We start from the raw sequence: 26,409 nt of genomic DNA on the forward strand, positions 1-26,409 counted from the left end.
TTTACATAAGAAAATCACAATGTTTTCTTTATTAAACATTTTTGAGTGCCAGCTATGTGCCAGGCAGGGTACTAGGTGCTGGGAACAAACAGGTGAACAAGATAAACACAGTTCTGCCCTCCTAAAGCTTACAGTCCAGTTAGAGGAACAGACAAACAGTCCAACAAGACAACAATCCCCAGTTGTGATAAGTACTGAAAAAATAACTAAAAGGCTGATGTGAGAATGACTGGAAACACCTTTTTGTGTTAGGGTAACTCGGAAAGGCCTCTCTAGGTATGGCACTGGTGCTGTTATGCTGAGAGTATGCATTCCGGATAGGACACGATGAAATGGCACTTCGCATCCTCCCAACCTGAGAAATCATGAGAAAAACATCAGAAAAGCCAAAATTGAGGAGCAGTCTACAAAACACCCGACTAGTAATCCTCAAACTACCAAGGTCAGGAAAAACGAGGAGCATCTGAGAAGCTGCCTCTGCACAGAGCTGAGGAAGGAGGCATGACAGCTAAATGTGGTGTGGAATCCCGATGGGGTCCTGGAGAGGAAAAAGACGTTAGTGGAAAAACTAGCGAAACCGGAGTAAATTCAGAGTTCAGACCAAACATCCCAGTGTTAACTCGTGAGCATTGACAGATGTATAGTAGGAGACATGATGAACATTAGGATAAGCTGGGTGAAGGGTATGCAATATTTTCTATAACACTTCAGAACTTTACTGTGAATCTGAAATTTTTCCAAAATTTTAAAATTTATTTTTTAAAAAGTAAAGATGGAAACACACTAGCCCTGCAAAGATGGTACATGTGTGTGTCCTAGTATGTACAGGATCCTGTTCTGAATGCTAAGGATTGAGTAGTGAACAGTCTTCTAGTTACTGATTCTTATTTTATTTAGGAAAAAAGAGCCATACTTGGCACACAATGCTTGCCAATTTTTAACCAGGCAATGCTGTGATATTTCTTCCTCTCCTCCATCTTCGAAAGTAAGCTGAATTGCTTGGCTCAAATAACTTAAAATATTTTGTTTCAGTTATTTTCCACAGAGTCGATTAAAAACTCCTAAATGAATAAGCATATTATAAAAGAAGGAAGGAAACAGCACTGACTTCATTTTTCATTTAAAGTTACCTGCAGCCAAAAGCAACGTTTAAGTTCTCTGTTTCTTAATGTTTTCTATTAAATGTATAAAAAAAATAACAATAATCAAAGCTTCTTTATGAAAATCCAGCGTTTGCATTTTCACTCACCTGCAATTCAGTTAAAGCATAAATGTTGAAAGAAAATTTCCTCTATGCTTTTAAACACAGGAAAGGACCACTTGCCCAGAGCCTGGGGACATTCAAATCCTTGACTTACTTCTAATTTAACTCTAGGGTCAGACTCTTTGTCATTGAGTATAACAGTGACAACTCACCTTAGATTTCCATTTAGATGAATGTGCTTCTGTCCTGAGAAGAAGTGTCCAGCCCCAGCTTCATCTAATGTTTCCAGGTAATCCTTAACAGCCCCAAAACTGACTCCAAAGAAAGCAACACAGTCAAACTGTCTGTCCCTCTCTCAGGACAACGTCAATAATATACCCACTTTGGGTATTTGGAATATAATTGCAAACTTCAGCCTGAGGCCAATAAAACTTTTTATCTAGGAGACAGACAAATAAAGCATGTGATAAAAAAAAATTGAAAATAAAATAAATAAATAAATCGGATGTGTTACATGGAATGCTGTGGTTGAGTTCACTATGGCTATGGCCAAAGTATGGAGGGGAAGACACAACATGAAAGGGTCATGTGTAACTTCAATATGTATGTAACTTACAATATGAAAGGGTCATACGTAACTTCATATGAAGTTGCAATATGAAAGATTTAGCAGTCCTTTCTTGATCAAGAGAAGATGTTTCTGGGTACTGAATGTGTGGCCCACCTCCACTCCACTCAAGAAAGGTAATGCAGTTAATTTAAGCTTTATAACTGTCAGACAGCAACAATGTGCAACACTCTACTGGTCGCTCTCTAGTGCACTGTTGCAAGAGTGGTCCTGGGTAACAGATGCCCCTCCGAGATGACAAACTATGTCTTGGATATTCCCTCTCTGTCTTACCCTTCCCTCTCTCCAACCATCTCCAACCTTGACTTACAAAACAAGACCACAACCCAACTATCCATAAGTCAAATCTGTCGCTGCTAAGGGAGGACACATTCTGGGACAAGGGAACATTAACATAAGACAAGGCTGAAATAAAAAGTCAGTGTGTGGACAATTATTTGCCAAAAATGATAGAACCTGCATTTCCTCTCTGCTGGGTAGAGCCCTGGTACTAACATTGAATTCTTTCATTGTGCATTATCTCTGGATCTCTAATGTTTAGGACTTGGAGATTAGTTTTGCTTTTCATTTAAAACACAAAAAGCATTTGCTGGCTGAAATAGTCATCTGTTACTGAAATCCCACTTTTCCCTTTATTATCAGCCCAAAAATGTGTGTGTGTGTGTGTGTGTGTGTGTGTGTGTGTGTGTGTGTGTGTAGAGCAGAAAAGCTCAGCTGTTTGCTTTGCAGCTATCTAAAGATTTTAGAACTGAGCTTAGAGGGGGTTTGGGGAATGACGTAAACCTGTTGGTTTCCACGTAGGTGTGAATCTGAGGAGGAGGTAGTGCCCTTGAAAACATATGGATTCCACATGAGGACATTTCCCCACTCTCAAAGTGGGTGCTCATGGTGCCTGCTGTGCCCTGAATCACAGTGAGAATAAAGCTGAGAAAAGAGGTCTTTTTAGGGCTTTCATGGAACAGCCTGTTCCATGTGGCTCCCAATGGCAAGGAAAATGAACAAAGGGGTACACAGTGTTAGCTGCCTACATAGTATCTATTCCTCCATCTTCCTGCTAATAAAACCTTAATTTTGACCAGAGTGAAAATATGTCCCATCCCACAGAATAAATTTTGACTAGTCTAAATCAATCATGACCATCCCACTGCCAGCTTTCCCACACATTCCTGTATCAAGGGATGGCCACATGATCCAGTTCTGTTAACGACCTGTCAAGGGAAGTCAGGCAGGGGCCTTAAGGAAAAGTTTTACCTTCCTAACAAAAGCAAGAGACATGCTTGCCACTATCTTTTTCTTTCCCTTTTCTTCCTGCCTTGAACACAGATGTGATGTTCAGCTGGAACATTTTGCTATCCAAAAAAAAAAGGCCAAGAGAATCTTAGACGTGCTAGCTCTAATGTCATTGAGCCACTGAGCTAATAATATCAGCTTGTTACATGAAACAAATAAGCCTGTAGTCAGGGCTTCTATTATTCACATTAGAAATCATTCCTGGGTTTAAATATTTGCTCATCTTCTATTGCTTAGATAGAAGAGTATAGAACAGTGGTTTCTCTTGAGGAACACCAATCCTTAAATCGATGTTTATTTGGGATTTCCTTTATACTCCATTATCTGTTCAGCTTTAAAGTTCATGTTTCCATGACGGTCACAAGAACCTGTCCTAATGAGGGACCAACCTGTAAAGAAATGACAGCCGTATTTTTCCCTCATGGCTCAGAACTGTCTTAATCAAGATAAGAAAATAGTTGGATTCCTCTGCCTACCCTCTGACCCCTGGATTCCCCTCCACCCTTACTAGTCTGCCTTAGCTACACACAGAGAAATGGTTTTCACAGCCAGTTAACACCATGGTGCGGTGGGAGGCTCAGATGCAAAAGGAAAAATTTATTCTCCATAAAAACAAATCTAAAAGAACTGCCAATGAGAAGAAGGTGGATCTTAAAATTAATGTCACAGCAGGAAAGTTTGTGCAAGAGTATTCTCCTATAAAGGGAAGAAAACTTTGCCTAACAGAATGAAAGGCTAATATCTTTCAGTAATTGACAAAACAGGAAAGATAGTCAATCATTCAGGACTCGGGGTCATACATAAGCAAACAAGCTGTTCATCTGGTGACAGACAGTCTTGCATCAACTATAGATGACTACCTACTGTGAAGTGGCCACACAAATCCCATGGTCTCTCTGAGAGAGGAGCTAGAAGAGTTAAGTGCTGTGTGCTCTGAAAAACACTGCCAGCCTGTAGTAGGTGCTCAGTAAATATTTGTTTAATGAATGAACATTTTCTGACTTTGAAGGGACAGAAAGCCACTAGCTTCTGCAAAGTGACACTGGCCATATTTCAGTTTATATAGAAGAAATATACGAGCAAGTGAAAATGACAGTTTACCCAGACCGTGATGAGATGACCTGGTTTCTGACGACACCCATATTTAACCTGCAGGAAGTAGCCTATGTGCACCCAAGCATTCTGTAGGAAAACAGGGATAATTTTCAGGTAGTGTGGTATGGGCTCTGGAATTAGACTGTCTGAGTTCAAACTGAACCCCACCCCTTACAGCTGTGTAACATTTGGAAATATTAAGTTTCCAAATTTGTTAAGTCTCAATTTCCTATGCAGTACAAGATAGAACAAGAATAGTAACGACTACAGAATTCAGTTATGTGATGATCAAATGAATTAATCTATGTGTAGTGCCAACGTATGACAGCCACTCACTAAATAGTAGCTATTTTTGTTGTTGTCACTTTCCTCATTGGCAGCATCTAACTTGTCATCTCACCCATCAAGCTCAGCCATCAATTGTGGAGAATTCACAATCTCTCTTTTGCTTTTATGCAAAATAATTTGATTCTTTTTTTTTTTTTTAATAGAGTCTCACTCTGTCACCCAGGCTGGAGTGCAGTGGCACAATCTCGGCTCACTGCAACCTCCACCTCCCAGGTTCAAATGATTCTCCTGCCTCAGCCTCCCGAGTAGCTGGGACTACAGGCACGTAACACCATGTCTGGCTAATTTTTTGCATTTTTAGTAGAGACGGGGTTTCACCTTGTTAGCCAGGATGGTCTCGATCTCCTGACCTTGTGATCTGCCCACCCTGGCCTCCCAAAGTGCTGGGATTACAGGCATGAGACACTGTACCCAGCCAAGAATTTGATTTTTTTAATTTAATTTTTTTGTGTGTGTGAGACAGAGTCTCGCTCTGTCACCCAGGCTGGAGTGCAGTGGCATGATCTCATCTCACTGCAACCTCCGCCTCCCAGGTTCAAGTAATTCTCCTGCCTCGGCCTCTTGAGTAGCTTGGATTACAGGCGCACGCCACCATGCCCGGCTAATTTTAGGTATTTTTAGTAGAGACGGCGTTTCACCATGTTGGCTAGGCTGGTCTCGATCTCCTGACCTCAGGTGATTGACCTGCCTTGGCCTCCCAAAGTGCTGGGATTCCAGGTGTGAGCCAGCATGCCCAACCCAATTTAATTTTAACATGAATGACTTTGTCTATTCAGATCTTATGAGGGGTCTCTAATGATTACTGGCAGTGGTTTGGTGCTCTCAGAAGGAAGTTCCAAGACATTAGTCATTCAGCCCGGGGGCTTGCATTTACAAAGCAAGTGGGCTCCCTGGCCATGGCGTGCCACTGGGCTGTGGTCTGAGCTCAGGACAGAGAAGAAGCCTCGCCAGAACCTTAGAAAGAGTCCAATGAAAGGGCTGCTCAGGTCGCCCTGCATGTCTTTGCCTCTCCCCGATCAGCACTCCATAGCATCTAATAATGCTGTCTAGGGAAACACACTCATTTACCACATGTGCTTTCCTTGGCAATTTTTTAAATTTATTTTTATTTCATTTTATTTTTCAACTTTTATTTTAGATTCAGGAGGTACATGTTCTGGTTTGTTACCTGGGTATACTGCATGATGCTGAGGTTTGGGGTACAAATGATCCCATCACCCAGGTACTGAGAATAGCACGCAACAGTTAGTTCTTCAGCTGTTGTCCCCCTCCTTGTCTCTTCCCTCTGGTAGTCTCCAGTGTCTATTGTTTCTTTGGCATTTTTAGATTCATTAGGAACTCTTCTCCCTGCCTACGAGTGATCCATTTTCAAGAAGTGGCTCTCCATGACCAAGTTATTACATAACCTAGAAAGCACTTCAATCATAGCTGAAATTATTTCATATCCCAGTTCATTTGCTTGTTTATGTCTCCTCTCACTGGAATGTTAAATTCCATGAGGATAAGGACTATTTCTGTCCTGGGCTGCTAACATAGTACCTAGAAAACAAGTGTGCCTGTATATATATATAATAATTAATAATTATTAATATAGTATAGCTGTATTTATTCATTATAATTATAGCTCCTTGGAGGCTACCTGCCTTTTTTCTTGTCTGTATCCTCCACTGGACCATAATTATTAATTATAGTATATATATGGAGGAATGAATGAACAAACCACAGGGAACACAGAAGTTGTACACTCTATCTCTACTAATTCAGAATTGCACAGATAATTGAAAAGTTTTTCTTCATTATCATTATGATCATCATAAAACAGCCTCAGATTATTAAGCACCCATTAAGTGCCAACCCTATTGTGCATTTTACACATCTCATTTAATCGTCACAAGCCATATGGCACACATTATTATTCCCGCTTTCCAGATTAAAAAAACGAGGCTTAGAGAAATTATTCGCCAAAAGTTTCCAATTGCCCTTGAGATGGGACTCAAATTTTCCTTTTCTTCCTGTATTATTATTTTTCTTATTTGACAAGTAAAAATTGTATGCATTTCTGACATACAACATGATGTTTTGATACATTTATACTCTGTGGAATGGCTAAATCAAGGTGATTAATGTATGCATTACCTTACGTACTTATGTTTTGTGGTGAGAACACTTAAAATCTACTTTTTTAGCAATATGCAAGTACACATATTTTGTTATTAATTACAGTCACCATGATGTACAGGACTTAAATTTCTTAACATGGTTTACAACTCTAACCTCATCTTCTTTCATAGCTCAAATGCCAGTCTAATGCTTCATTCTCTTCAGTTAGAAATGTGGTACAAAGTGGATTAAACAGTTTATTTTCTCACCTAGGAATTCTGGAAGTAGGAAATGTGGGGCTGTCACAGTGACCCCGTGATATAAGCAAGGCCCCGGGCTCTTTTAATTTTTCCTCTCCACTATTCTGGTATATTGCATTGTTACTTCATGGTCACAAATGGCAGCTGTCCTGTACGCATTGTGTCAGCATTCACAGTGAGGAAGAGGAGGAAGGGCAAAGGTCTGTGCTAGCCGAGTGTTCCTCCTTAATCATGAAACAAAAAAATTTGCAGAATCCCTCCAGCAAACTGTGATAACATCTCATTGACCAGAACTGTATCAAATGGCTATCATTAGGTGCAAGAGAGCCCTCTATGACAGAAGGTAGAGAAGAAAAAAAATGAGGTTGTTTGTGGAGCCAAGATGGCCGAATAGGAACAGCTCCGGTCTACAGCTCCCAGCGTGAGCGATGCAGCGTGATTTCTGCATTTCCATCTGAGGTACCGGGTTCATCTCACTAGGGAGTGCCAGACAGTGGGCGCAGGTCAGTGGGTGCACGCACCGTGCGCGAGCCGAAGCAGGGCGAGGCATCGCCTCACTTGGGAAGCGCAAGGGGTCAGGGAGCTCCCTTTCCGAGTCAAAGAAAGGGGTCACAGACGGCACCTGGAAAATCGGGTCACTCCCACCCGAATACTGCGCTTTTCCCACGGGCTTAAAAAACGGCGCACCACGAGATTATACCCCGCACCTGGCTCGGAGGGTCCTACGCCCATGGAGTCTCGCTGATTGCGAGCACAGCAGTCTGAGATCAAACAGCAAGGCGGCAGCGAGGCTGGGCGAGGGGCGCCCGCCATTGCCCAGGCTTGCTGAGGTAAACAAAGCAGCCAGGAAGCTCGAACTGGGTGGAGCCCACCACAGCTCAAGGAGGCCTGCCTGCCTCTGTAGGCTCCACCTCTGGGGGCAGGGCACAGACAAACAAAAAGACAGCAGCAACCTCTGCAGACTTAAATGTCCCTGTCTGACAGCTTTGAAGAGAGCAGTGGTTCTCCCAGCACGCAGCTGGAGATCTGAGAACGGGCAGACTGCCTCCTCAAGCGGGTGCCTGACCCCTGACCCCCGAGCAGCCTAACTGGGAGGCACCCCCCAACAGGGGCACACTGACACCTCACACGGCAGGGTACTCCAAAAGCCCTGCAGCTGAGGGTCCTGTCTGTTAGAAGGAAAACTAACAAACAGAAAGGACATCCACACCAAAAACCCATCTGTACATCACCATCATCAAAGACCAAAAGTAGATAAAACCACAAAGATGGGGAAAAAACAGAACAGAAAAACTGGAAACTCTAAAAAGCAGAGCGCCTCTCCTCCTCCAAAGGAACACAGTTCCTCACCAGCAACGGAACAAAGCTGGACGGAGAATGACTTTGACAGGCTGAGAGAAGAAGGCTTCAGACGATGAAATTGCTCTGAGCTATGGGAGGACATTCAAACCAAAGGCAAAGAAGTTGAAAACTTTGAAAAAAATTTAGAAGAATGTATAAATAGAATAACCAATACAGAGAAGTGCTTAAAGGAGCTGATGGAGCTGAAAACCAAGGCTCGAGAACTACGTGAAGAATGCAGAAGCCTCAGGAGCCGATGCGATCAACTGGAAGAAAGGGTATCAGCGATGGAAGATGAAATGAATGAAATGAAGCAAGAAGGGAAGTTTAGAGAAAAAAGAATAAAAAGAAATGAGCAAAGCCTCCAGGAAATATGGGACTATGTGAAAAGACCAAATACGTCTGATTGGTGTACCTGAAAGTGATGGGGAGAATGGAACCAAGTTGGAAAACACTCTGCAGGATATTATCCAGGAGAACTTCCCCAATCTAGCAAGGCAGGCCAACGTTCAGATTCAGGAAATACAGAGAACGCCACAAAGATACTCCTCGAGAAGAGCAACTCCAAGACACATAATTGTCAGATTCCCCAAGGTTGAAATGAAAGAAAAAATATTAAGGGCAGCTAGAGAGAAAGGTCGGGTTACCCTCAAAGGGAAGCCCATCAGACTAACAGTGGATCTCTCGGCAGAAACCCTACAAGCCAGAAGAGAGTGGGGGCCAATATTCAACATTCTGAAAGAAAAGAATTTTCAACCCAGAATTTCATATCCAGCCAAACTAAGCTTCATAAGTGAAGGAGAAATAAAATACTTTACAGACAAGCAAATGCTGAGAGATTTTGTCACCACCAGGCCTGCCCTAAAAGAGCTCCTGGAGGAAGCGCTAAACATGGAAAGGAACAACCGGTACCAGCCGCTGCAAAATCATGCCAAAATGTAAAGACCATCGAGACTAGGAAGAAACTGCATCAACTAACGAGCAAAATCACCAGCTAACATCATAATGACAGGATCAAATTCACACATAACAATATTAACTTTAAATGTAAATGGACTAAGTCCTCCAATTAAAAGACACAGACTGGCAAATTGGATAAAGAGTCAAGACCCATCAGTGTGCTGTATTCAGGAAACCCATCTCACATGCAGAGACACACATAGGCTCAAAATAAAAGGATGGAGGAAAATCTACCAAGCAAATGGAAAACAAAAAAAGGCAGGGGTTGCCATCCTAGTCTCTGATAAAACAGACTTTAAACCAACAAAGATCAAAAGAGACAAAGAAGGCCATTACATAATGGTAAAGGGATCAATTCAACAAGAAGAGCTAACTATCCTAAATATATATGCACCCAACACAGGAGCACCGAGATTCATAAAGCAAGTCCTGAGTGACCTACAAAGAGACTTAGACTCCCACACATTAATAATGGGAGACTTTAACACCCCACTGTCAACATTAGACAGATCAACGAGACAGAAAGTCAACAAGGATACCCAGGAATTGAACTCAGCTCGGCACCAAGTGGACCTAATAGACATCAACAGAACTCTCCACCCCAAATCAACAGAATATACATTTTTTTCAGCACCACACCACACCTATTCCAAAATTGACCACAAACTTGGAAGTAAAGCTCTCCTCAGCAAATGGAAAAGAACAGAAATTATAACAAACTATCTCTCAGACCACAGTGCAATCAAACTAGAACTCAGGATTAAGAATCTCACTGAAAACCGCTCAACTACATGGAAACTGAACAACCTGCTCCTGAATGACTACTGGGTACATAACGAAATGAAGGCAGAAATAAAGATGTTCTTTGAAACCAATGAGAACAAAGACACAACATACCAGAATCTCTGGGACGCATTCAAAGCAGTGTGTAGAGGGAAATTTATAGCACTAAATGCCCACAAGAGAAAGCAGGAAAGATCCAAAATTGACACCCTAACATCACAATTAAAAGAACTAGAAAAGCAAGAGCAAACACATTCAAAAGCTAGCAGAAGGCAAGAAATAACTAAAATCAGAGCAGAACTGAAGGAAACAGAGACAGAAAAAACCCTTCAAAAAATTAATGAATCCAGGAGCTGGTTTTTTGAAAGGATCAGAAAATAGATAGACCACTAGCTAGCAAGACTAATAAAGAAAAAAAGAGAGAAGAATCAAATACATGCAATAAAAAATGATAAAGGGGATATCACCACCGATCCCACAGAAATACAAACTACCATCAGAGAATACTACAAACACCTCTACGCAAATAAACTAGAAAATCTAGAAGAAATGGATAAATTCCTCGACACATACATTCTCCCAAGACTAAACCAGGAAGAAGTTGAATCTCTGAATAGACCAATAACAGGATCTGAAATTGTGGCAATAATCAATAGCTTACCAACCAAAAAGAGTCCAGGACCAGACGGATTCACAGCCGAATTCTACCAGAGGTACAAGGAGGAACTGGTACCATTCCTTCTGAAACTATTCCAATCAATAGAAAAAGAGGGAATCCTCCCTAACTCATTTTATGAGGCCAGCATCATTCTGATACCAAAGCCTGGCAGACACACAACCAAAAAAGAGAATTTTAGACCAATATCCTTGATGAACATTGATGCAAAAATCCTCAATAAAATACTGGCAAAACGAATCCAGCAGCACATCAAAAAGCTTATCCACCATGATCAAGTGGGCTTCATCCCTGGGATGCAAGGCTGGTTCAACATACGAAAATCAATAAATGTAATCCAGCATATAAACAGAGCCAAAGACAAAAACCACATGATTATCTCAATAGATGCAGAAAAGGCCTTTGACAAAATTCAACAACCCTTCATGCTAAAAACTCTCAATAAATTAGGTATTGATGGGACGTATTTCAAAATAATAAGGGCTATTTATGACAAAACCACAGCCAATGTCATACTGAATGGGCAAAAACTGGAAGCATTCCCTTTGAAAACTGGCATAAGACAGGGATGCCCTCTCTCACCACTCCTATTCAACATAGTGTTGGAAGTTCTGGCCAGGGCAATTAGGCAGGAGAAGGAAATAAAGGGTATTCAATTAGGAAAAGAGGAAGTCAAATTGTCCCTGTTTGCAGATGACATGATTGTATATCTAGAAAACCCCATTGTCTCAGCCCAAAATCTCCTTAAGCTGATAAGCAACTTCAGCAAAGTCTCAGGATACAAAATCATTGTACAAAAATCACAAGCATTCTTATACACCAATAACAGCCAAACAGAGAGCCAAATCATGAGTGAACTCCCATTCACAATTGCTTCAAAGAGAATAAAATACCTAGGAATCCAACTTACACGGGATGTGAAGGACCTCTTCAAGGAGAACTACAAACCACTGCTCAAGGAAATAAAAGAGGATACAAACAAATGGAAGAACATTCCATGCTCATGGGTAGGAAGAATCAATATCGTGAAAATGGCCATACTACCCAAGGTAGTTTACAGATTCAATGCCATCCCCATCAAGCTACCAATGACTTTCTTCACAGAATTGGAAAAAACTACTTTAAAGTTCATATGGAACCAAAAAAGAGCCCGCATCGCCAAGTCAATCCTAAGCCAAAAGAACAAAGCTGGAGGCATCACACTACCTGACTTCAAACTATACTACAAGCCTACAGTAACCAAAACAGCATGGTACTGGTACCAAAACAGAGATATAGATCAATGGAACAGAACAGAGACCTCAGAAATAATGCCGCATATCTACAACTATCTGATCTTTGACAAACCTGAGAAAAACAAGCAATGGGGAAAGGATTCCCTATTTAATAAATGGTGCTGGGAAAATTGGCTAGCCATATGTAGAAAGCTGAAACTGGATCCCTTCCTTACACCTTATACAAAAATCAATTCAAGATGGATTAAAGACTTAAACGTTAGACCTAAAACCATAAAAACCCTAGAAGAAAACCTAGGCATTACCATTCAGGACATAGGCATGGGCAAGGACTTCATGTCTAAAACACCAAAAACAATGGCAACAAAAGACAAAATTGACAAATGGGATCTAATTAAACTAAAGAGCTTCTGCACAGCAAAAGAAACTACCATCAGAGTGAACAGGCAACCTACAAAATGGGAGAAAATTTTCGCAACCTACTCATCTGACAAAGGGCTAATATCCAGAATCTACAATGAACTCAAACAAATTTACAAGAAAAAAACAACCCCATCAAAAAGTGGGCGAAGGACATGAACAGACACTTCTCAAAAGAAGACATTTATGCAGCCAAAAAACACATGAAAAAATGCTCATCATCACTGGCCATCAGAGAAATGCAAATCAAAACCACAATGAGATACCATCTCACACCAGTTAGAATGGCAATCATTAAAAAGTCAGGAAACAACAGGTGCTGGAGAGGATGTGGAGAAACAGGAACACTTTTACACTGTTGGTGGGACTGTAAACTCGTTCAACCATTGTGGAAGTCAGTGTGGCAATTCCTCAGGGATCTAGAACTAGAAATACCATTTGACCCAGCCATCCCATTACTGGGTATATACCCAAAGGACTATAAATCATGCTGCTATAAAGACACATGCACACGTATGTTTATTGCGGCATTATTCACAATAGCAAAGACTTGGAACCAACCCAAATGTCCAACAATGATAGACTGGATTAAGAAAATGTGGCACATATACACCATGGAATACTATGCAGCCATAAAAAAATGATGAGTTCATGTCCTTTGTAGGGACATGGATGAAATTGGAAATCATCATTTTCAGTAAATTATCGCAAGAACAAAAAACCAAACACCGCATATTCTCACTCATAGGTGGGAATTGAACAATGAGATCACATGGACACAGGAAGGGGAACATCACACTCTGGGGACTGTTGTGTGGTGGGGGGAGGGGGGAGGGATAGCACTGGGAGATATACCTAATGCTAGGTGACAAGTTAGTGGGTGCAGCGCATCAGCATGGCACATGTATACCTATGTAACTAACCTGCACAATGTGCACATGTACCCTAAAACTTAAAGTATAATAATAAAGGGGAAAAAAAAAGGAAGAAAAAAAATGATAGAAATAATTTTCAATTTAGTCAACCAACAATCTCTGCACTCAACCATCCAGAGCTACTGTCAGAGTTACAAAATGGCAATGCTTGCTCTTATTCCTAGAGCCTTGCACATGTTCTTCCTTCTTCTTTCTTTAGCTTGATATGTTTCCTCTTCTTTGATATTTTCCCTGGCTGAAACATCTCCCACCACCAAGAGTGGGTAAATGCCCTCCTATCAGTTTTCTTAGCTCCTTGGAAACTACCTGCCATTTTTCTTGTCTGTATCCGCCACTGGATCAAACTCTTTGAAGATGGTACCATGTATTTTCATCACCATATCCTAGCATCTATCACAGTGTCTGGCACAATAAGCCTTTATTGACTGAATGAAGTGAAAAATCTAGGACTCAAACTTAGGCCTTTCCAATTCCAAAGGCCACATTCTGTTCGTTATGTAACACTGACTATGAAAAACAAAACAACATATTTTAGAAATCCCTTGTAAAAACTCTCCAGCCTCTCCTTGAAAGACACCATAGAGTTTTACTGTTTATCATCATCATCATCCTCATTATCACATTTCTCTTTTGCCCTCTAATAGAGGACCCAGAAACAAAGAGAGTAACCAAAAGCTGGGCAGGAGGACAACAGAGCCTGAAAAATAGCCAAACTGAGTGACTAGTTTCCAAGAAAAAATAAAAGCTGAATATAATGAAGAAAAATATTTCAAAGTTCAAATAGGATGCTCTGGCATACCTAATTGTAGCCCCAGTACTAACTGGCATTTGCTTTTTATTTTTCCATACATATTTAGTATTTATAGACCAAAGCTCACGTTCTGTGATTTTTTTAATGACTTCCAAATGCATTGCGATCACTTAAAGGTAATTATTCATTCAGACGAAATGTACATCTAACAACCAGAGCTTTCTCAAGCAGAAAAGTCCCCTCAGAGATGGCTGAGAAAATGTTATGCTCAACCTGTGCAATGTTGTTAGAAAGAAAGGAAATTTCTTGTCATCTGCTGGCAAGATGCCATTCCTCCACTTGCCCCTCTCAACTCATGTGAGAGGCAAAGCATCAATACCACACTTTTGGCTAACACAATGACAGAAATAATTACCTTCACCTGGGACAGTCTAAGTTCTGGGTTGGATTTTTGTTTGTTTCTCTTTTTGGCATTTTAATTTGGTCACTATTTTTTTCCATATTTCCACCATTCAACACTCAAACCTCATACATGTTAAATGAGTCATCCTCTTTTCTGTTTCAGCATATTTTTAATGAGAAGAAATTGTATCTTCTGTGGTGACTTAAATACGTCCACAAATGCTTTGATACGTGAAATATGTTCACACCTCCTTTCAGAAAAGGAAGGCTAATTCCTTTCCCTCTGAATGTGGGCTAAACTCCATGACTCATTTCTGACCAATAGAATAAAATGGAAAGGACAGTGTATAACTGGGAGACTAGGTTGTAAAAGGCACTGCGATCTCTCCTCTCTCTCTCTCTCTCTCTCTCTCTCTCTCTCTCTCTCTCTCTCTCTCATATTACTCGCTCTGGGAGGAGCCAGCTGCCATGTAACAAAGACACTCAAGCCTTGTGGAGAGACCCTCATAGAGAGTAACTGAGGCCTCCTGCCAACAGCCACATAAATGAGCTCAGAAGCAGATCCTCCAGCCTCAGTCAAGCCTCAGATGACTACAGCCTCACACTATTTACTGCAAACTCATGAGAGACCTTGAGCCAAGACAATCCAACTAAGCTGCTCCCAATTTTCCAATGCATAGAAATAAATGTGTATTTATTTCTATTATAAGAAATATTAAGTGTTTATTGTTGGAAGCCACTAAGTTTGGGGATGATTTATTGCATAAGAATAAATCACTAATTCAATTACATTAAAAATATATACAATTATCACCAAAAACCCGTCATCCTAATATGGTTTCCATCTTTGTATATTCTCTTCCACATGTAAATGCTTTATATAATTGTTATCATAAGCTGTTACAATTCTTATTCTGTCATATTGCCATATTTAAACACATCCTTTGTTGTTATAATGTCTTTATAATTGATATTTTTAACATTTAAATAATACTTGTTCATGTGGATATGCCATAATTTTTAAGTCATTTCCATAATATTGAACATTTCAGCAGTCTTCAGATTTTTTTCTATTAGAACTTTTACTGCAGTGAATATCTTTGAATATACAGCGTTTTGCTTCTCTTATTTGGTTAAGGTAAACTTTCTGTATTTGAATTACTGGGGAAAAAAAGTATGAACATCTTTGTGCCTCTCATTAAATAATATCATATTTTCTTTTCAAAAAGATATATAAATTTATCAGCAATGAATAAGTGTACCAGCTACACTACAACCATAATTATATTACAATCATTTAAAGTTGTGCTAAAAGGTACAAAATTGCATCTCAAGTTTGCTTTAATTTAAATTTCTTTGATTCCTAATGAGATTGTATGGGCTTTTTTAATGTATAATTATTGTTTCTACTTTTGTGAATTATCTCCTCCTATATTTTGTGATTATCCTAGTTTTAGTTGCACTTTTCTTATAAATTTGGATGTAAAATTACAGATTAGAAATATTAACCTTTAGAAATATTAGCCTTTGATTAAAATGTTTTTCCAGTCAGTTGTGCATTTATACAAGTTTCCTTTTCTCAGTATACAAAAATTCTTAATTTTTTACATTCAAATATATCAATACTTCTATGTTATTTCTTCCATTGCTTTCTACTACTGCATAGCTAAGAGAGTTCACATTTTCCCTCTGATCTGAACTGTTATTTTCTTCTAGTTTCTCTAGAATTTATGAAGAGGTGTTTCATTTTGTTTTGTTTGTACCCCAAATCCATCAGGAATTAATTTTCATACATACTGTAAAATGTAGATATTTTTCAGAATTTTTCTTATTTTTAATTTAAAATAGTTCACAGTAACTTGGTTTTTAAATGCCTACAATACTCCTAGGGGTAACTGTGATCACTGAATTGTCACCAAAACAATGGCAAAGAATGACATAACCAAGACCTACGGCGGACACTATAACTGGAGACTTCTCTTTTTTTTTTTTTCATGTCCATAGAAGAGACAAGTGCTTCTGGGAGACTGGGCTCCTCCCTAGCCCAAGGGGGTGAATCATGATTGGCCCAAGTCAAATATTTTATTTTTCCGTGACTGATTTAGGCTTGGGTTTGTCTTACCATGTTGGCCAATGATAAGTGCAGAAAAACCTGCCAGGCGGTCTCTGCCAATAGCCTTTCTCACGAACAGAAAGAGACATACAGAAAGAAAGATACCTCTTCCATCAAAATTGCTACCTGCCTGTGCCTAGAACATGTCAGGAACCTTGCAACCATAAAAAGACAAGTCAGAGAACAAATGCTGAAGATGATAGAGCAGACAGATGGCAAGACGGGTATTACATGATGGTGTTGCACTACGGAATTAACCCATTCTAGCACTGCCCTACCTAAAAATGTGTTCTTTAACAGAATATGTATTCCTATTGTTATTGCCACTTTCAGACACCTTTTCGTTATTTTCAGCCACAAATATCTTAAATTTTAAAACCTCTTTAATGTTTTTCCCCTTGCTCGTTGATTTCTCACACACTGTCTAGAAACGATGCCACAGGGTTAAGTTCCGGATTCGTAAATTCCAAGAGGCAAAAAGGCGGAGCGTATCTGGGAGAGTGTATTCTGTGAACCTCGCCATTAGCAGGAGATGGGGTCTTCACTCCCCCAAGAGCCTTTGCAAACACTGTGTTTCTCCCATATTCCAACTGTGCCTTTGTGCTCAGGGCCCTTTGCCTTCTTTCTCAGTAACAAAGCACACCTATTAGAACCCTAAGTACTTACAGGCTCCAACTTTCCCAAGAGGATGAGTTGCAGTGAATGACAAACACCATTTTCCACCGCCATTAAATGCAAATCTCTAGACACCTCCTTATCAGCAACAATACAATGAAAACTGAACACTCTGCTAACAAGATTTTGATAGTAAGAGTTGTAAACTGCCATGTTCTACAAATCCTGCCACAGAGGAACAAGAGTTTGCCCAATTAGCAACCTTCTTAATAATAACAGCAAATACATATTCAAACAACCTGAGACTAAATGAAAAATTCAAATAAATCAGAAGCTTGGTCTACAGCAGTGGTTTTTAACTGAGCTCACTAGAACCCTCGAGATTCTCTACAGAAACACCTCAAACGAAAATAAGTGGGACTGAGGAAATAGCTCAATCCCGGGCCCCTCTTCAAATGAAAAGCTCTGCTTTTATCTGTGTTTTTTATATATTGGTCTTATGCAATATTCAACTTGAAGAAAGACTTTCTTGTTGTTGTGAAACACTAGCTGACACTCTTAATGTTTTGGAGGCATAATAAACAATAAAATTTTTGCAAAATTTATACCAAAATAAGCAACCAGATCATTAAGGGAAAGATGGGAAAGCAGAAGATACTATCTCTTTTTTCTTGTTATTTTTATTTTCCTTCTTGTCATTTTTAGTATAATAACTTAATGAAAGGTCAACATATATGTGTATTTTTCATATGAGAACTGGAACAGATGAGACTTTCATTATTGGATCCTGGTGCTATATCTGGTCTTCTTGATGTATGTTGGATGAGAGGGGATGGTAAGAAGGAGAAGGTTGGTTCTCATCGTTCCATTTTATTTTGATAACCTGCCCGCACAAATTACTGGCATAGCTTTCACCACATTGGCACACACAGGCTATTTCTATTGATCTCGAAACTTAAAGAGTCCATGACCTCATCTGAAGTATGCTTTTTAATAATTCACTCCATTTAAAGACCCATTAAAATGTCATAACTGTCATAAACCTTGTAAACAGTTGTTACTTCTAATGTCTTCAAAATAATAATGCATTATTGATGAAAACTTGGTTCATAATCACATTACTCCCATTTGACAAAGCCAATACAGTATATGCTTTTTTCCACATCCCAGAACTTGTTCATTCCCCTTCAGCTAGGCCTCCCCGGGTTCTTCCAAAGAGTTCTTTGGAATCTTCTCATGACCCAAGCCAAGACTGACTTATGGGCTGACTTACTTCAAAGAGGACACTAGCGCAAAGATATGATTATAAATTTGCCTGGAGAAGCCACTGACCAGACAGTACAAAAGGAGGAAGGAGCTGGGGAGTTAGAAATCCACTGTTAGGCCAGGAGTGGTGGCTCATGCCTGTAATCCCAGCACTTTGGGAGGCTGAGGCAGGAAGATTGCCTGATCTCGGAGTTCAAGACCAGCCTGGGCAATAAAGTGAGACACCATCTTTACAAAAAAATACAAAAACTAGCCAGGTGTGGTGGCATGCACCTGTAGTTCCAGCTATTCAAGAGGCTGAGGCAAGAGGACCATTTGAGCCCAGGAGTTCGAGGTTGTAGTGAGCTGTGATCATGCCACTGCACTTGACTCTGTCTCTAAAGAAAAAGAAAGGAAAGAAAGAGAAAGAGAGAGAGACAGAGAGGGAGGAAGGGAGGAAGGAAGGGAAGGAAAAGGGAGGGAAGGAAGGGAGGAAGGAAGGGAAGGAAAAGGGAGGGAAGGAAGGGAGGAAGGAAGGGAAGGAAAAGGGAGGGAAGGAAGGGAGGAAGGAAGGAAGGAAGGAAGGAAGGGAGGGAGGGAGGGAGGGAGGGAGGGAAAGAAAGAAAAAGAAGGAAGGCAGGAAGGCAGGGAAGGCAGGAAGAAAGAAAGAAAGAGAGAGAGAGAAAGAAAGAAAGAAAAATAGAGAAAGAAAGAAAGAGAGAAAGAAAGAAAGAAAGAAATCCACTGCTAGCTGACATGTTGGCTTCTTTGGATGTATAAGGCTTTCTCCTTCAGAAATTCCTAGGTATAAACACACAAACTTGATTTCAGGTGCTTTTTCAATGGAGCATGAATACAAAGAACATATTAGTTTGATTATCAATCAAACGAGTAAAATGAAAAAAATTCTCCAAAATATGGGATTCTCCTTAAAAGTAGAGTTGCCAGGTAAAATGCAGGATCCGCAGTTAATTTTGAATTTCAGATAAATGACGAATAATTTTTAGTAAAAATATGTCCCAAATAATGCATGGGACACGTACTAAAGAATGATTTGTCATATATCTGAAATTCAAATTCTCCTTGGCATCTTGTATTTTTATTTGCTAAATCTGGCAATGATACCTAAAAAGTACGTTTTAATGCCTCACCTAACATTAAAAATGCTGATGGTGCCAGCTTAGTGGTCCCCAATTCAGGCAACACATTAGAATTACCTGCGGTTGCCTAGGCCCACCCTTTACAGCAGCTAAATCAGTTTGGGGAATAGCACCCAGGCATTATTTTAAGCTCCCCAGGGGGTTCTAATGGACATCTAGGACTCAGAACCATGTTGCTGGTAGATATAATGACCCTCTCAGAGAGGCATATCAAAGATGTCTCAGGATCTAGTGACAGGGAAATATATGTATGTTTAAAAGCATATTCAACATTTTAATATAAATTTATATTTGAAAAATAAAATGTGTTTATGTTATAATCTACAAACAAATAAGAGTAACCAAGTTATTCAAATGTGGACAGCTAAAAGAGATAATAAAGCACATAGTCCAGAACCTGGGGCAAGTCCCCATGGGGCAGAGCACCTGGGAATAGAGAACAGGGGTCACAAGGCAAGGGGCAGGCAGGATTTAATGGGTGCACAGGTGCCCCGGGTCAGAGGGTAACAAAGACCAGGGTTCAGGAAAACAGACAACAAGAAGTAGGACCTCGGGCCAAGAAGCTAGACAGTCACCAGCCAGGCACCAGCAGATGCACAACCGATCATGTAGTTCTGCCAGTTGCAGGACTTTGGGGACATCAATCCCAGCACCTGGCTGGCACAGGGTTCACAAGTGACATAGGTGTGAGCATTTGGCTACAGTAGGGAACAGAGTTACAGAGAAGGGCAATGGTAAATTCACTTCTCTGAGTGAAATGCCAACTGACCTGCACCTATGGTGATTTGAAATGAATTTGACGCTTAGAAGTCACAGCTTTTAGTCCTGCATATTTTTTTTTTTTCTTTGAGACAGGGTCCCACACCAATGCCCCGGCTGGAGTCCAGTGGTCACAGCTCACTGCAGCCTCAACCTCCCAGGTTCAGGTGATTCTCCCACCTCAGCCTACCAAGTTCCTGGAACTACAGGTGCGCACCACCCCACCTAGCTAGCTTTTTGTGGGGTTTTTTTTTAGTAGAGACGGGGTTTCACCGTGTTTCTCAGGCTGGTCTCGAACTCCTGGGCTCAAGCAATCCGCCCACCTGAGCCTTTCAAAGTGTTAGGATTACAGGCATGAGCCACCATGCCTGGCCTAGTCCTGTGTACTTTAAGTAGGGTGATGTGCTCAACCTGAGTTCTTTTCTGAAAAACAAGGAACATAACCTTCTTTGTGGGGATGTGTAAGCAGCATACCCAGAGACAAGTTTGCACTGAATGCTGCAGCCCTAGAGCAGAAGCCAGGCATTCTGAAGTCACCCACTGCCCCGGGAACGACAAAAAGGAGGGGTAAATGTACTACAACTCTCATTGACTACACAATAATAAAAGTCATCTTGCATTTGCTAATCCTCCTCCATCTCCATTTTATGTCCTACGTTTATATTTTACTGAGAATTCTATTCTCCTAATAAAATAACATCCTGCTTTTATGATCTTCTTCATGCAAAAAACCTTAAACCACAGCAACCTATCCCTCCCAAAGGCATAAAAGTAAACCAAAAGCCATATGGCACTGGAATTAAAGTCAGCATATTGTTGTGTTGTATAATTCACCATTATTACAAATGATTTCTCAGTGATATTATGGTATTAACCCACTCTAGTGTGCAATGATTCATTATAGTTCTGTTTTCCTTTGAAGCCCAGCCAGCTGTATTTCAAGTGGAGCTCAGCTGAATTTAACCACACAAACATTATATTGCCAGCACCATTCCCCAGCCCAGCCACCTGACTCATGGAAACTGCGTGTTTCAGGCCATCCGCAGGGTTTCTAGCTCTCAGCACACAAAGAATGCTGCAACTCCGTATCTACAAGATTCCATCCTAATTTGTGGAGGTAATCAGTTCCATCCATCCTTACAGACATCTGACCTTGTCACTCATATTATACTAGAAAATTTTGAGTCAGGTGCCCAGCTCCCTAATTTCTTGATGGGTAAATCTGAAGATAGTTAATGAAAGTCACAAGAGAGATTGTGGAATTTCTCTCAATTAATGAGGAAGATGTAAATTTGCCTTCCTTTCACAGAGGGAACTTGGTACTTAACAAGTATATTAAACAACATACATTAAACAGCATACATTAAACAACTATGTAGGAAACCTTTATGTATACATAAACTACATCACATATGTATGCATAAAAATATGCGTTTGTCATCTTGATGACCCCAGTCTCACAACTCCCTGGGCTCACCCTGTCTCTTAATATTCAAGTAAAATGATTCAAACGACCATACTACTGAGGAGACAAGCAGACCCTGATTATCTGGGAACAGGCCTGGTACTATGAGCAACACTTTGGTGTATTTTTTTGTTGAACACAAATAACTTTATGGACCATCAGCACCAAACAAGGCCACTCTGTGCCCATGACGGATCAGGACAAAAATAAGACCACTCCATACGTGTGAACACAGACAAAGCAGGAATATTGTCCAACCCACGAAATACCAGATGTCCCCCTCTCCGAGCTAATGTGTGCAACTGCTGCTGCTTTACCAACTAAGGTTTCAGCCTCATTCTAGCCTGCCCACCCGATGCATAAGATAGTTAGGATAACCAATCATACAATTATCTCCGCTTCCTGACAGCATTCAATTAGAGCAAAGCCCGCTTCCTTAAAACCTCCCCTAAAATCACCCAACACAAGACCAAAGCCTGCAAGCCTTCATAAATCCATTCACTGAGACGCCCCACAGCTCCCCACAAGGTAAGTTCTCCCCCGCTGCAGCTGCAATGAGTAGTAGACCCAACTTGTTCAACTATTAACACATATGTGTTCCTGGTGTTCTTTGGCTACAGGACATTGAGACTTGGAACATCAGAATTTATCCTTATCTTTTCAAATGTCATTTCCCCTGGCATATTTGAGAGAAAGGGTTACCTAGCTTCCATACTTGGGTCAATCCTGCTTCGTGGCTGTTCTCTGGATCCTAACCGACATGCTCAGCTCCATGTTAGGAGTTCTGGACCACTGTCTTTTGCCCTCTTTCTGCAGAACATCACAAACACAAGGTTATGAGCAAAATAAGTATTTGTGTGAGGATTTGGAAGTAATGGAGTGCAGCATGGAATACACAACTTGAAACTGACTATCATACATCCGTGCCAACATTTCTCAAGGACTCCCTCACCCCCTCCCTCTACTGCCACCTTCCTTTCCCCCTAAGTTTTTTTTTGGGTTTTTTTTTTTTTTTTTTTTTTTTTGAGACAGAGTCTCGGTCTGCCACCCAGGCTGGAGTGCAGTGGCGTGATCTCGGCTCACTGCAAGCTCCGCCTTCCGGGTTCACGCCATTCTCCTGCCTCAGCCTCCCGAGTAGCTGGGACTACAGGTGGCCGCCACCATGCCCAGCTAACTTTTTGTTTTCTGTATTTTTAGTAGAGACGGGTTTTCACCGTGTTGGCCAGGATGGTCTCAATCTCCTGACCTTGTGATCTGCCTGCCTCTGCCTCCCAAAGTGCTGAGATTACAGGTGTGAGCCACCGCGCCCGGCCGTCTTTCCCCCTAATTTTAAAGAATTTCTCACTATCTGGGTTCTCCTTGCTCCCCTACCTCCATGCCACCAGCTTTGTTTATGTGTTTGTCCTTTCATCCTTCTGTCATCTGAACCCCCAAACTTCAGCTTCCAGCAGCCTCTCCTCAACATTCCTCTCTTGTTTATTTGCAGAGCCTCCAAACCCTGAACTCTCTTGCCCACAGGAAAGGTGGTGAAAACTTTATTATGCAAATCATTTTTCTCGTTTGCATGCCCTACCCTAAGCACCCTAGTAGCAGTTGGCATGGAGCTGAATCGGGTAGTAAGCAGAGAAATCAACATTTCTATAAAACCACCCCAAGAAGGTATATGAATTTTTAAAACAAAAGAAAAATGTTCCTCCTGGATGGAATTCTGCTCTAATTCTACTAGAGTAGTGGTTTTCAAACTTTCTTGGTTGAGAACCTCAATAAGAAATACATTTACATTGCAACTCAGTATATACACATACAAACATGATGGATGAGAAAGAGACTGAGAGACAGAGAGAAAGAGAGAGAGATCTCTTACCCTTACTAAAATGCTCTCTGGCCAGGCATGGTGGCTCACGCCTATAATCCTGGCACTTTGGGAGGCCAAGGCAGGAGGATCGCTTGAGCTCAGAAATTCAAGATCAGCCTGGGGAACATAGGGAGATTCCATCTCTACAAAATAATAATAATAATAATAATAAATTAGCTAGGCATTGTGGCTTACACCTGTGGTCCCAGTTACTCAGGAGGCTGAGGTGGGAGGATCACTTGAGCCCAGGAGTTCAAGATCAGCCTGGGCAACACAGTAAGATCCCATCTCTACAAAAAATAAAAAAATTAGCTGAGTGTGGTGGTGCATGCCTGTAGTTCAGCTACTCAAGAGACTGAGGTGGGAGGATCATTTGAGCCTGGAATGTCAAGGCTGCAGTGTGCTGTGGTCACACGACTGCACTCCAGAGTGGGCAACAGAGTGAGACCCTAAAACAAAGTAGTCTCTACAAAAAAAAAAAAAATACAAAAATTAGCCAGGTGTGGTGGTGCATACCTGTGGTCCCAGCTACTCAGGAAGCTGAGGTAGGAGGACTGTTTGAGTGTAGGAGGTCAAGGCTGCAGTGAGCCACGTTTGCATCACTGTACTCCAGCCTAGGTAACCAAGTGAGACCCTATCTCAAAAAAAAAAAAAAGTAAAACGCAATAAAAATAAACTGCACCCTGATATTTCCTTTTTAATTCTACTTTTTTTAAATGGAAAAATTCTAGTTGGCTGAAACCTGTTATGCTGATTTCATTACCCATTAATGGATCTCACATGGTAGTTTGAGCATGCTCTCCTACAGCAACTAATATTTAAAATAACAAACTTTTCTTCCAACTATAGGTAGAAAGATAGATCTTATACACACACACACTCTCACATGAGGTATCACCTGGCAGGTTCTTGAGCCGGAGGAATAATACAAGACAGAAGGAAAAAATGTGAATCGCCTCTTCTCTGTAGCTTGAATTCACCTGACTGCGGCAACGCTCAAAGTGTAGCATCAATTCATATGGCGACCAGTTCATTTGAAGGAGTTCCTTTCAGGTGAAGAGATTTGTTGAGGCCCAGCCAAAGATGAAGCAAATCAAGGCCCAGATGAGAGGTAACTCAGGACGTGACTTCAGTGGCCTCCAAGAACAGATGCAAAGAACCCAGCGGCCCAGCAATTACACAGAACTGCAAAGTGGGAGAATGCAGATAGGCAAAATAAAGAGTAATAAGACCACAACCACACCTAGGGCAGTTCAGGGAGCCGATGTCAACATAGAGAAGGAGAAGTGGTTGACGGGAATTACAGGGGGACGAACAGCCCCAGGAACAGAAACCAGCCATGGAGGAAGGGGTGTAAACCACACAGGTAAAGTGATACTTACCCTGGAACCAGAACCAGAAACTATGGATCCTACAGGAAATGGATGCAGCTTCTTAGAGCTGTAACATACCTTTCAACCGATTGGTAGCTCTCCCCTGAGCAGAAAATCCACTTGTGAATTTGAAGGTCCCAGATATTTTTGCAGAATGAAGCCTTGTTCTACAAAGGCCAAAGACAACGTACGGTGCATTAAGCCAGGCAAGGTTGATGAGAATGATGAGGATTAAACGCTATTTTTACCAATAATTTGAGACAGTGCCCCATTTTGGCTACTTTTCACACCTTTACCCTTAATTCATACATCTTCTCAAATAGAGGTTTGTAAGTGTGCATTCATTATCTTTCCCTGGAGTTATAAATTCATTTTCACTGATTTTTAAGCTCTAGACAGCCTTGCTAGTATGTTTACATTGTGGTGTTTATTTTCAGAGGTAGAACTGCAATAAATGAAAAATATTTTCCCTTCAGTAGAAAGGGAAATATTATACTTAGATATTTATAAGTGGTTATTTTTTAAATGCTAAGACAAAAATATTATAATTATTATACATTGCTGACAATTTTCTGAGTGTTTCTAGTTTAAAGACAAAGTAATATTCATGACATGAACTATACTTCAAACTGAATATGGAATAAAAATGTATTTAAATAACGAGAGAAAACTGCATATCTAAGTGTACATGCAAATCAGCTTAACTGTTTTATATTAGAGTTACTATGATGGGAAATCACCATAATAAAAATAATAAAGCTACTATTTTTTGAGTACCTATCTTATGCCAAGTGCTGTGATGGATATTTTATATGTGCTCTCTTATTTAATACTCACAATAACCCCAAGAAGGAGGTAATATTAACCCTATTTTGCAGATGATGAAATCAAAGTACAGAGAGATTAAGTCATCTGCCCAAGGTTACACTGCTAGTAAGTGGCCAAACTAGGATTTAGACCTGTATCTCCCCCCACAAGTCTATATTTGTTTCCTGTTTCTACACTGCCTCCTCCATCTCAACCTTTGGGGAGATGACATCCAGGTGCTTATTCTGGGTACAAGGCTTTGCCCAGTCAAATGCCATCATCTTTAGAACCTTCCAGAGAATATGGATGTGAAAACTCTAGACAGTTATGTTCTCTCACCAGGAAGTAAGCAGACTGTACTCACTCATGTGAAATGCAAGACAGACTCAAGTGGGTTTCCGAGGGTTTCTTTTCAGACATAAGACCTCAGCAAGAGCCTTCTAGGACACCACCAATGTCTGCAGAGCCTGGTTCAGCCCGGGGCTTCAGATAGTTTTGGATGTTCCCCTCAGCAGACTGCAAGCTCTGTAAAGACAGTTGTATATGGCATAGAATGGACCAGTCACTGAGGACACAATAAATGCTGATT

The 26,409-nt window shown here is 40.7% G+C and overlaps 1 long non-coding RNA gene across 2 annotated transcripts; it reads right to left on the minus strand.

The window, feature by feature from the left end:
• On the minus strand, positions 1–26,409 carry LOC105374600 (uncharacterized). 2 transcript variants are annotated; one of them, XR_940087.4, is made up of 6 exons: positions 26,185–26,409; positions 24,539–25,180; positions 23,650–23,783; positions 22,488–22,595; positions 1,417–1,643; positions 1–355 (listed from the first exon to the last, which is right to left on the minus strand). It is a non-coding gene; the product is annotated as an uncharacterized LOC105374600 (long non-coding RNA). The 2 variants fall into 2 exon arrangements; XR_940088.3 differs by lacking the exons at positions 1–355; positions 1,417–1,643; positions 22,488–22,595 and having other exon boundaries at positions 23,744–23,783; positions 24,539–24,825; positions 25,092–25,180.

This window comes from Homo sapiens, chromosome 2 (assembly GCF_000001405.40).
Source record: "Homo sapiens chromosome 2, GRCh38.p14 Primary Assembly".
In the NCBI taxonomy this organism is placed as follows: domain Eukaryota; kingdom Metazoa; phylum Chordata; class Mammalia; order Primates; family Hominidae; genus Homo; species Homo sapiens.